Source organism: Homo sapiens, chromosome 4 (assembly GCF_000001405.40).
Source record: "Homo sapiens chromosome 4, GRCh38.p14 Primary Assembly".
NCBI lineage: Eukaryota > Metazoa > Chordata > Mammalia > Primates > Hominidae > Homo > Homo sapiens.
The window spans coordinates 127412945-127426839 of NC_000004.12; the positions used below are offsets into that span (position 1 = coordinate 127412945).

At 36.6% G+C, this 13895-nt stretch overlaps 1 long non-coding RNA gene across 1 annotated transcript in view; it reads right to left on the reverse strand.

Moving 5' to 3' along the window:
* LOC102724210 (uncharacterized) overlaps nucleotides 1-13895 on the reverse strand; it is a 396780-nt gene that overhangs the window by 339169 nt on the left and 43716 nt on the right. The window contains exon 2 of the long non-coding RNA XR_001741824.3: nucleotides 2132-2218. This is a non-coding gene — a long non-coding RNA (uncharacterized LOC102724210). The remainder of the gene's footprint in view (nucleotides 1-2131; nucleotides 2219-13895) is intronic.

Consider the following 13895-nt stretch of genomic DNA (forward strand, 5'->3'; position numbering starts at 1 on the left):
ATAAAGAATGCACAAAGGAGTTTTATTTTCAATTCCAGTTTCTTAATTTTTTATTATATTCCCCAGCACAGAGCAGTCTTTGTACCTTTGGATCTCCCTAAATGTTTATATCCCAAAGTACACAGAGGTGTGAAAAATATGACTCATGTTCTTGATAAATTCATATTATAAGACATGGCCTTGAAAATGAAAAGCTAATGAAATCCTTCTTTCCTCTAAATTTTCTTTCATGTCAAAGGTTAGTCTTGCTTATTCAACAACTTAGACCTCAGCACTTGAAAAATAATGAGTCTATCCAAGTGGTATCAACAGCTAAGGTTTTAGAAACATGAAAAGAAAGTCTTTAGAAAACTAACTCAGGGTTAGCAGTTAGAGAAGAGTTCACAGTTTTACTAGTCCAGAGATAAATTACTGCAAACTAAGTAACTGATATAACATACTCATTTGCTAACTCCCCCATAGCCTACCAGAAAAGGTTTAAAATGAGGACTTTTGACATAAACTGCCTTGCTCACTCTTAGAACACACTAAAATCTCAAGTATTTACCCTATAAAACTGTCAAGAATGTAACAAGTTTTTAAAAAATTCATCTCTTTTCTAAGAACAGTATAAGAATTATACCTATATTTTAAGCCAACAACAAATCCAAGCTACAGATTATCCATTGAATAGAACATAAATTTTTGTAATAAACTTATTATTTGTTCTTTCTTTCCCACCATTTTCAGGTTAGTGACAGCAAACCTCTGACAGGCCACCAAAGAATTTAGCTAGCAAATAACTTTGCGTATCAGCCATACCCCATTCCATTCTGGAAAAGACTGGGAATTCTCTTTGTGTTTAGTTTGCACATGGAATGTTATGACGTGAGGAAAACTAGGAAGGCCACAAAACTTGCCTGCCCCGGTGCCCTTACTTAGGCTCTGTGTCATCACAGACTATCTCTTCTACTCTATGACATCTTAGTTTGTATTAAAGCAAAAATAATAAGTAACAGGTAGTGAGTGCTTACTCTGTGCCAGGCACTGTTTAAAGCACTGACAGAAATTAACTCAAATAATATTCATAACAATTTTTCCTTCCCTTGGAATAAAAAAAGCAAAACCAACTGAGAATATGGGAAAATGAAAACAGTCTATTTGAATGGCTAAATTATGAATTAATGTTTTCTTTCATTTTGATTGTCATTAATGTTATTACTATATTCACATAGTAAATACCTATGTGAAGTTTCTTTGAAACCTCTTCCAAATGCTATTTTTCACCTGGAAAATGAGGATAATAACAATACTTTCCTCATAGGGCTGCTGCATTAGTTTTACATACTGTAAAAATCTTTCCAAAATGTCACTTGTGTTCATATAATATTCAACTGCTTATTGGATCTCATCAGACTTCTTAGCTGGTCATGCAAGTCCTCTTTTTTATCTTATTGCTTTACCATGTCACCCTCCACCCCAATTGGGCCCACGGCCACACCTAAGTCATTCCCAGCTCCCTATCTTAACTCACTTTCTCCCTCCAATCTCCTTGCAAATGTCCTCATCACTCCTCTCTGCTAATCATGTCTTCCCCATCCTTCATCATCTCATTCACATTTTCCTCCCTCTTTTTATGTCTTCCCCATACTACATTGCATTAACTGACATGCACTGAGTGCCTATGATGCACTTGGCACATTTTGGGTGTTATTTAATCCTTTCAGCAATCCTAGAGACAGTTAATAGTATCCCTATTAGACACATGAGGATTAGAGAGACTATGATTTATGCAGGGTGGCAGAGCCAGGGTTCACTCTCAGTTATCCTAATCTATCCTGCACTTAAGAGCTTGCTCCACATAAATGAACTCTTAAATTTATATTTTCTGGTAATGTTCTCTAATTGTTTAAGATGTATGAAGTCTATGTGATCTCCTATGTTCTTTGAGGTCCAAATCTCATGCAGGGCACACCATAAGCTTAGTTAATACTGATAACTTGAATTGGAAAAACTGATGTGAAGTTCCAACAAAAAGTTACTCTTTAAATATTAAATCATCCCCAAAATTTTAAAAGAACTGTGAACTACCAGATGTCTCAGACAGCCTGGTAGAGGCATCAGGAAAGCAACATCATAGAGAAACACTCACTGGATGTTTGAAGATGATGAAAAAAACTCTTTCGGGAATTGGATCTTTGACAGAATGAAGTAGAACTATCAGAGGAAGATCCAAGCCCTGCAAAACATAATGCACACAGACATTTAACTTCCAAATAGTTTACGTCTTAGGAAGGAGTGGGAAAGATAAATAAGGTGTTTCCTTCTATCACTTTCATGTTCTAAACCATTTCCTTTTTTTTTTTTTTTTACCCTAGAGGTCCATGTCAGCTGAAACAAAGTTTTAGAAGACAACTAAATTGGGCTGTTTCACTACCACTAAGTAAATTCTGACATAATTCTTTGTCCTCTGTCCAGAGGCCATGGTTCAAATACAAGGAGATGGAACAATGCCTGGACATATCTCAGCAATTATTCACCCAACTCTACTCTGGAACCACAGAGGAATATCTAGTCAGGTACCCTAGACTGTCATCTCTGTCCCCACACACCAGGCACTGCAACTGTACTACAGAACTTTCAGCTTTATTGGTACCCAAGGGATGGAGCTATAGTCCAAGAAGCCCATAGCCACAGAGCTATCAGGAGAAAGCAAATCCTTGATATCCATGAGTTTTAATACTAGCCTGTCACTGACTATACAGATGGGCCCCAACTTACAATGTTTCTACTTTACTATGGAGTAAAAGCCATATGCCTTCAGTAGAAAGTGGTGCCATACTCTCTCGCACTGCTGGGCAGTGGCAGCAAGTCACAGCTCCCAGTCAGCCATGCCATCACAAGGGTAAACAACCTCTATGGGGTTCTGTGCTGCCAGATGACTTTGCCCAACTGTAGGCTTAGTGTTCTGAGCACATTTAAGGTAGGCTAGGCCAAGTTATGAAGTTCACTGGGTTAGGTATATTAAATGAATTTTTGTCTTGCTATATTTTCAACCTAGGAAGGGTGTATTCAGACATAACCCCATTATAAGTGGAGGAGCATCTTCACCTCCAAAAGAAAATTCCTACCAACACCTTTTCAAGCAGTCTCATTGGCAACCTTTACATAGTAATATTTTCCATCACCATGGCCCTTGCTGCTTCTTAACAGCTAGTCCTTTGGAAACAGAACAAATTAGCAGCTAAAAGCTTCTAGCCCCTCAGCGCAGTCTTGCATATGCTGCATCTGAGTTTCTTTGTGACTTTTATTCAGAGCATGAGGTAGCTGGAGCGCAGCCGAACTCATCCTTCAACAGCCTTGCTCATCTGGTTTCAGGGGCCAGAGACAACACCCCAGCTGCCAGTTCCATGCCCAGTGACAGGGTGAATGATCTTTTCCACAGAAAGGCAAGGTTAATAAACAGTCTGGATCACAGACTTCTTATTCTCTCTTCTCTCCTCCCCTCTGCAGTGCCAAGGGACTTCCCTCCGTTTTTTAATGCCTTCTGTCATCAAACAATTAAGCCCATTGCCAGGCACCCACCCCTAGTGCCCTGTTTGTAGAAAATACGTATGTAACTAGACTGGGCCCAGCAGAGCAAGGGGGCATGATCTCTTACTGAGATGAAATTTGTTCACTAGCACACTCACATTCTCAAAAATTGGTTTAAATACTTCTAAAAAAATTAATAAAGCATTATTACCTACTCAAGTTTCCAGGCACATTTACACAAAACACCCTATCAGCCAAGAATGTATTTGCTTTGGGTTTTTCTTTTAAAGAAATTGCTAGGCTATCATATAAAAGCCTCCAAAATATAAGTGTATATAACATACACATATAAAATATTTCTATATTATATATTTATATATTGTTATATATTATATATTGTTATATATAAATATATAACCTCAAATATTTTTAAATGTATATTTATGTATATAGCTACATATTATTTATATTTTGAATTTTATATATTATTTATATTTATAAATTTATGTATAAGTATAAAAAATTATATAATATATACATGTTTTGGGAAAGTAGATATTTTATATAAAATATATTAACATAAATATATGTAACACAAATACTTCAAATAACATATTTATATAAAATGTATTTTATATATAAATATGAATGTTTCCTAAAATACTAATTAAAATACAAATACAAATACAAATATGTGTGTGTGTGTATATATATATATACACATATATATGTACATATATATGTATATATATACGTATATATATATACATATATATATACGTATATATATATACATATATATACGTATATATATATACATATATATATACGTATATATATATACATATATATACGTATATATATATGCTCTTACCCCAAAAAAGACCTGTGAGAGTCTCTCAAGTCCTATACTGAAATTTCTTCCACTCCTTATTTTCTTTTTTTGTTTGTTTATGTTATGAACAGGGAATGTCATGACAATTACAGAATCACATCTAATGAAGTCTGGCTCTGCTATTGGTTCAAATGAAAACTTCAACAGTTCCACAACCTTGAGGTGTCCTCACAGTTTACAAACAACTCTCTCATTTTCAAGAGGAAGATAAGGGGATTATAAGTAAAAGTTTCATTCCAAAATATTGACTAAAATGCCAACCTATTATTATGGATTTCACGGGTCAGTATAACTAATCTGAACTAACTAGAGACTAAACCTGAAGAGACAAAGTGTTTCAATGGAGGTAAAACAATGACAGCATTTATTCCCAAATACAGAAATAATTATCATGGCATAATGTAGTCTCAAGGCTTGGAAAACAGGAGCTCATCAGTTGCAAAACGTACCTAACTCACAAGGAATGTATGAGTATGAGAAAGCTCTCAATGCACAGTTCCTCTTGGTTTATCTTGTATTAATTTACTTCCCAGTCAACTAATTTCATGAAAGCATTTGAGGCAGAATTCCTTTCTAAACTATAAAGGACTGCTAGTGAGAGGTGGTGAAACAGGATTAATTGGGCTGCTGCTTTTCCTGCCTTCCCCAGACCAGGCTCCTACACGACCTGGGCAGGGCTGTCCTCCCACATTCCCCAGATTCAGAAAAATAAATAAACAAACATTTCACTATCTGGCACTATGTCTGACTTTTAAAGACATTCCATCAAACATTAACGATAAATAATTGTATGGTTTATGTAGACAACTTGCATTGTTTATAGCAATTATGAAGGAAGAAAGGCAGAGCAAGAGGAAATATTTTCTTCTGGCATTTCAAAGCAGATTCTGACATAACAAGTTATTGCATTTTAAGAATATAAACTGCCTCAGTAAATTCTATTCCCCTCAGAAACTGCCAAAATTGCATTCTGCAAACACTAAAAAAGAAGAACAATGACACTGCTGCCAAATACAAAGATATCTATCAGCCAAAGAGTTAAGAGAATGATAGAGCGCTATAATAAATTTCCTTTTCATTCCAAGTACATTGTAAATGACCTTAGCAGCTCAGATAGATGAATTTAGCATCTTATACCTAAAAAACAATTTATGAATTTACTAAAAATGTTTACTATCAATGCTACAGCACTTTTCTCAAACATTTTGTACCATGGAATTTTTGTTTCATCACATACCTACTGAAATTTTGTCAAATACTAATATTCCCAGAGCATTGTTTGGGAATCACTTAGACAGCATTTAATAATGTATTATCCGACAATATAGATAATAGAAATATACATACATGCTAACTTTAGAGAGGATAAAAATATGTATAGATACACTAGAACATGTTTCTTAAACACTATACTCAATAGTCTTGGCTCCTACTTTTACAATACCTCGCATCCATTCTTATTCATTTTCTCGACTTTCTATTTTCCTAATTTTAGTTCGCAAAAAAAAATTGACTATTTGAACCAATCTTTACTCAATTTGTATTTATAGGTAAAAGAAAACCCAAATATCACTAAGAACTATATGTGCCAATCTAAATAATAAAGCAAACAAAAACATTATTAAAATGACAATAAACATATGACATATCAAAATGTTTCTCTTTTCAGAAACATTACAGTTTTAGATAAATTTGATAGAGAAAAGCTACAGTATATGTAGAATAACTAAAAGGAAACAAAGAAACTGATGCTAGCAGTTGACAAAGGAAAAGTCTAGAGGATGTTTGTTACCACATATTCTTTGTTAGCATTTGAATTTTTCATCATGTGTATGTATTGCTTTTTCAGAAAATAAAAATATATACTAAATTAAAAATTTTAAATAATGATAACTAGAATCCACATAGCCAACACAAGAATAAGGTGGACTTATCTTGGGTCATCTACCTCACACACATGGATTTCATACTTAATTGTCAGATTAGACATGACAATTATTTGTTTAAGTTTTATAGTTGACAAAAAAAAATCAGGATTCCTGGAGAAAAAAAAAAATGAAATAGTTATCCAAAACAAACAAACAAAAAAGCTGATGCTGCTGTGTTGGGGTTGGTTTAAACATCTGACTTTTTATTCAGCATCAGTAAATCCTCAGTGGTATGTGACCTGAAATAAATACCTAAGAAATTAAAACTATTGGATCCACAATCAGTGGCTAAAAAACAAGCATTTCAAACTATAAAAGACTTGGAAGACAAAACATTAAGCTTTCTGGGCATTTGTACAGTGAAACAAACAGAAAATCCTCAGAGAAACGACTTAAAACTTGATTCAGACATAAAACAAAGCTTTAGAGGAAAATGATTATATGAATATTGAAAATATAATCCATGAGAAGAAAAACCTTATGTATTAAGGCATTCATTACAGTTTTATTTTAAGATGGGAAAAAGTGGAAATAGCCTAAATGTGTATTAGTAGAGGAAGTGTTCAAAGTTATAAAACACCCCTTCAATGATTATCATGAATTTTCATCACAAAAACTGTAACAACATGGAAATTATGTTTATCTAATGCTACATGGTGAAGCCAGAATATACAATTACATATATGCCATCATCAGAAATATGTTTGTGCCATATTTGTGGTAATTGACTGCTTCAGCATCAAGAGGTTGGAAAGAAACAAGCTAAGATCAGGACTCCTAATGTTTAAACATACAGACACACACACACACACACACACACACACACACACACACACACACCCCTCTACCACCCCATCAGACAGCCTGTCCTTTCTTGGGGTCTCAGCATAGTAGTGGACACATATTTCGGTCGCATGAAAAACACCTCCCAAAATACTGTCCCCTTCCTCAACCTTGAAGAAACTCCCCAAAATAATCCATATTTTTCCAGGATTAGAATATTTCTGTCTATCTCATGTCCTCCTTGCCAGTGTGTAAGGGGCGTTATTGGGAATCAGATAGTAAGTTGGGAAGGAGAATAAATTTAGTTGAGGAAATTCTTTTCATATGTTCATTCATCCAACAAAAATGACCTTAGTGCCCAATATATTCCAATTATGGAGAATATAGCAGTAAACAAAAGAAACACAGTTGTTCTCATCTGGGGCAATTAATGATGAGTTCTCTTTCAGACACACTGAATTTGAGTTACTTCCAGAATTACCTAGTAGAGATGCTTGGAGATACACAGAAATATGGCTTTCAAAAAAAGTTCAGGCAACACTCTCCACAGGCTTAGCTTTGGACACTAAGCACAGACAAATTGAAGAACGAGGATTTGGAGGGGCTGAGTGAGTGTTTCACTGAAAATACAGTGCAAGCTTGGTGGAACAGGCAATAAACAAGACATCAATTCCACAAATTTTGGAGACTTCAGAGGTGGAAGTTTCCTGGCGATGAATGAGGAGGTCTAGAGTATAATTGAAGTGGATCAGAGCTAAGATGGGGTGGAGATAGGAGTCAGAGATCTCAAAGAGAGCCAGGACCATTAAGTTGGAGGACTGGAAAAAGATCATTTTCATTAAAGTTTTTTCAGCATATGAGCAATTTAAACCAACACAATAGAGCTTGGGATACACTTCAATGATATTTGCACAGATAGTTATTCTGAAGGAAAAGGAAAGTTTAAAGGAGGTTGACATGCCTCAAGAGACCTAAGGTGGGATAGAATTCTCATGAATATAAACAATAAAATGGATTGGAGATGAGCTCAAAAAGAAGAAAAATTTTAAATTGTAAAAGCTAAGTATATGACTCATAAAAAATATATTCGTAGTGGGGAAGTGGGAAAAATGTTTAAAAAATTACAACTTCAAAGAGCATTGGAAAACTTGGGGAATTGGAGATGAGGAAAACACAAAAGAACAAACAACCATATTCAACGTGGCTCAAGAAATGATGTCAAGAACTTTTATTAGAATGATCAATACCATCAAGATATATATACTTTGTAGCCACTAGTGACCTAATCCTCCCTTCTCCCACTCATGTTGCAAACGTAAACAATAAACTACAGATCTGGAGCCTATGAAATAATAAAATTAAAAGTACCCTTTTGGGAGGTAACATTGGATAATACTGCTTCATCCACAAAAAAATGCAGCAATAAATGAGCCACTCAAAAGAATAAAGATCTCCAAATTCTCTACATTGATAGAGAAAATGTTTGGTTAATGTTGCTATGGCATTTAGAGTAGCATAATTGGGCAGGAGGTGCTTTTCAGATGTTTTTAATAGTATTTCAACATTTCTTCTCTGACATCAGTTTTTAAAATTATGAAACTCCAAAGCCTGTCAGGGCATTTAGTAATTATGTAATTTATTAACTTGGGAGGGCTGAGGAAGAGTAGTTTAGTGTTTCATTTCAAAAATAATTTTCAAGAGCTACAATTGGTTGAACCTGGTGAAGTTTTCCATATTTTCATGAAGATAAAATGCTACTAAGGTCTACAAACAAAATGTATTTTTATTAAAATTACTAATGTTTAGTGAAAAATTCAAAGGCTGGGAAAGAAGCACTAAAAAGAATTTTTAAAGCAACAGTTCAATTCACTTGGTTACTGGAAAAGTCATTTTCCGAGTTAACCTTCAGGGCTATCCACCAGCTGGGAAAGCAGCTTATTTTATTATGTAGTTAATAAATGTCATCCACTCTTCTTAAAAGAGTCAAATTATGTTACCCTTAAACACTGAAAATGAATCTATAAAAGCAGAAAAGATATACAATAGATTTAACACAAAATATGTATATCAAGAGATACTTTTCAACTAAATGCAATGTATGGTCCTCAATTGGCCCATGGGTCCAGAAAAATAATAAATAAAAGGCTACAAAAAACAGTTTTGTTATAATTGATGAAATCTGAATACAGAATCTATATTAAATTAATATTATTGATTTAAAACTGAGTTTCTTGGGTATAATAATGTTTTCAGATTTAGGTGGAATGTTCTTGTCCCTTAAACATTCATGCTGAAGTATTTAAGGGTGAAATGTCATGATGTTTGTAACTAATTTTCCAATGTTTTTATTAAGTGTGTTTTTATTAAGTGTGTTTTAAGTGTGAATGTCCATGTATGTGCGTATGGGTACACACATAGAGATAAAGCAAATGTTTCAAAGAATTAAAAAATAGGAAATCTAGATACAGTGTATATAAGCATTCACTGCACTATTATTTCAACTTTTCAGTATATTTTAAATTTTTATAAACAAAAAGCTAGGAGGGTGGTCAAGATATCTCAATTGGACATTATTAGAAATTAGAATCTCTACAGAGAGCCAAAGCAGAACTAGGTAGCAAAACATCACCACAAAAACAAATTTACTTAACATCTAAATACATATGATACACTGTATCAGATGTTATAACAATATCAAAAATAGTCACAGTCTTCCAAGAACATACAATCGAAGGCCAACACTGCCAACAAACATAAAGAGCACTTAAATAGAAAAAAAGAACACCTATACAAACTTGAACAATAAAGTAAGCATAAGTTCTAATGATCACCACTTTTCTGACCACAGAAGGAAAAGCTGTACAGATTTGGTAAAGCTCATTCCATATTTTAAGGTTCTATGTACCTTGGACCATGTCACTCAGGCTCACAGGGATATAGAAAGTTTAACCAGTGTCACCTTTTCTTCCAAGAAATTAGAGTGGCCATTTAAGAGGGACTTGATTTTATGAGGAAAAGAAGCTTATGTCTGCTCATAAGGCTAGCTTAGAAATTATATCAGAGTATTTTATGTTAAATTACAAATATGCCCTAACCCCTGCTTTCCTCCCTGAATCAGTTTAAGAATTCTTTCTTAAAAGCATTTTCTGATTGCCCTGCTAAGTTAGATGTCTTTCCATGTCCTGTCCTTGTATGTATTTCATGGCATTATTATCACTGATTGTTTTTTTGTTGCTCACACTGACCTAGCACTTGCTAGGTGCTTGAGATACAAGAATGAATAAGACAATATGCCATTGACAAGTTTATAGCCTGGTGGTAGAGACACCCATGCAAAGAAATAATGACGTGTATCATCTACTCTTATGCTATCCACCGAGTTGTTCAACTCACAAACCTTGAATTCCTCTTTTGATTTCCCTCTTTTCTTCACTGACATCTAGGCCATTGGCAAGTTGATTCTACTACCAAACGTAACCTGAACACACCTATTTCTCTTCATTTCCACTATTACTCAGATTCAGATACTAGCTACTCTCACCTGAATAGCTCCCACGAAACACAATTGGCCTCGCATACATGGCCTTTCCCTCTTGACTTCCTACAGTTTGTTTTCCACAAAGGAGCCAGAGTGATCTTTTAAAGCGTAAAATAGATCATGTCAATCTCCTGTTTAAAGCCTTCCAATGGTTTCTATTTGGAATAAAATCCAAATTATTTACCATGGCTACCTACGAGGTTCTATATAATCCGGACCTGTCCGTTTCTCTGGCCTCATCTAATTTGCTTCTTACATAGTATGCTTCAGTCACATGGCCTTCTTTCTATTCCTCAAATATACCAATGTGTTTCCCCTTATACTTTTGCACTAGTGGTTTCCCTCTGGCTGGAATGCTATGAATATTTGCATCACTGGCTCATTATTATTAATATCACGCAGGTCTTGATTAAAATGTTATTTCTCAGCAAGGTCACTTCCTACCACCCAATCTAAAATTGCCACCTGACCACTTTCCTCATATCACCCTACTTTAGCTTTATTATAACACTGATAACTACTTGATGTTTTCTTATTTAAGTTTTTACTAGCTGCCTCCCTCTTCTAAACCAAGCTTTCTCAGGAGGATTTACTACTGACCTTGCAGAAGTAAAAAAAGAATTGTAAGAGAATACTATGAGCAACTGTATGCCAACAAATTAATAATTTACATGAAATGAACAAATCCCTAAAAAGACAAAAACTACTAAAACTGAATGAAGAAAAAATTAAAAATGGATAAACTGATAACTAGTAAGGAGATTGAATTAATAGTTTTAAACCTTCCCATAAAGAGAAGTCCAGGGCCAGTTGGCTTCACTGATGACAGTTATAAAGTTTCCAGCAAACTTTATTTTAAAAATGAATACAAATTTTTTAAACACTCTTTCAAAAAATAATGAGGAGAAAGCAGTTCCCAATTCTTTCTATGAGGCCAGCATTACTATGACAGCAAAACCAATACAATAAAAAAAAAAAAAACAAGAAAAAAAGCTATAGGCTGATATCTCTTATGAATATAGATGCAAAATTTCTCAACAAAATACAATACTAGCAAACTGGACCATTAACATACAAAAGGCATTATATACCATGACCAATTTATGAAATAACTGTGTCAATAGGATAATGGACAAAAAACACATGATTATCTCGATAAATGCAGAAAAAAGTATTTGACAAAATTCAATACCCATTCATAATAAAAACACTGAAGAAAGTAGGAACTGGGAACGTGCTAAGCCTGATAAAGGAAGGACATCTGGGGAAAAACCCCGTATTAGTCTGTTTTCATGCTGCTGATAAAGACATACCCAAGACTGGGTAATTTATAAAGAAAAAGGAGTTTAATGGACTCACAATTCGACACGGCTGGAGAGGCCTCACAATCATGGCAGAAGGTGAAAGGCACATCTTACATGCCAGCAGACAAGAGAGAACGAGAGCCAAGCCAAAGTGGAAACCTCTTATAAAATGATCAGATCTTGTGAGACTTATTCACTACCATGAGAACAGTATGGGGGAAACCATCCCCACGATTCAAGTATCTCCCACTGGGTCCCTCCCACACCCATGGGAATTATGGGGGCTAAAATTCAAGAGGAGATTTGGGTGGAGTCACAGCCAAACCATATCACCCACATACTTAATAATGAAAGATTGAATGCTTTTCCCCTAAAATCAGGAACAAGACAAGAATGGCTACTCACAGCACTTCCATTTAAAACTGTATTGGAGGCGGGGATTAAGGGACCATGGCAGACGGGAGGCAGGACTAGATTGCAGCTCCAGATAGAGCAGCACGCGGAGGCTTGTACTGTGAATTTTAGCTCCAGATCGACTGCAAGGACAAATCAGCAATCCTGAGAGGACCCACAGACTCTCTGAAGGACGCGGGCTGCTCCTGCAGGACCCAGGAGACACCCCAAATACTGCGAGTGCCCCAAACTGCAGAAGTGGGAAAGGGAGACCCTTCTCTCCTGAACACACACCCCTACTGGAGAAGCTGAAGGCCTGTTTGCAAGAGAAGTTCTCGACTTCACCTGGAGGTGAATCAAGTTAGAGAGCTGAGCTGAGTGAAATACAGGGGTAGATAAGCAGCAGAAAGGCCCTGGGAGCTCGCTGGATCCCCAAGCAGCCCATTCCTGCCTGGCACCACAGGGATCCACCAGGAGGGAGGCCAGAGGAGCAGGGGGTAAAACTCCACAAGGAGAAGGACTTCGATAGCTGAATTTTGTAATAATTTGAACAGGGAGAGAAACCTCCTAGCCAGAACTCAGGGGAGGGCGCAAATCCGGCTTGCAGACTTCACAGGTGGGGGAAGAATTAAAGCCCTTTTCTTTCACAGCTGGGAGGCAGAAAGCCTCAGGCAAATTTTCAAGCCTGACTCGCCCTCCACCTGGAAACAGACTCAGGGCCGCTGGGTGGGGGCACAGTGGGAGTGAAACCAGCCCTTCAGTTTGCGTGGGAGCTGGGTGAGGCCTGTAACTGCTGGCTTTCCCCCACTTCCCTGACAACCAGCATGATTCAGCAGAGGCATCCATAATTCTCCTAGGTACACAACTCCAGTGACCTGGGAATCTCACCCCATCCCCCACAGCAGTCACAGCAAGACCCCTGCCAAGGAGAGTCTGAGCTCAGACACACCTAGCCCTGCCCCCACCTGATAGTCCTTCCCTACCCATCCTGGTAGCAGAAGACAAAGGACATATAATCTTGGGAGTTCTAGGGCCCCACTCACCGCTGGTCACTCTCCATACTACTACAGCTGATGCTTTCTGGAAAGTGCCACCTCCTGGCAGGAGGCCAACCAGCACAAAAAATAGAGCATTAAACCACCAAAGCTAAGGACCCCCACAGAGTCTACTGCACTGTCTGCCACCTCCACCAGAACAGTTGCTGGTATCCATGGCTGAGAGACCCATAGATGGTTCACAATCACAGGACTCTGTGCAGACAACCCCCAGTACCAGCCTGGAGGCAGAAAGACTCACTGGGTGTCTAGACTAAGAAGAGAGACAACAATCACTGCAGCTCGGCTCAGAGGAAGTCACATCCACAGGAAAAGGGGGAGAATACTACATCAAGGGAACACCCATGGGACAAAAAATCTGAACAACAGCCTTCAGCCCTAGACATTCCCTCTGACAGAGCCTACCCAAATGAGAAGGAACCAGAAAACCAACCCTGGTAATACGACAAAATGAGGCTTGTCAACATCCCCCAAAAATCACACTAG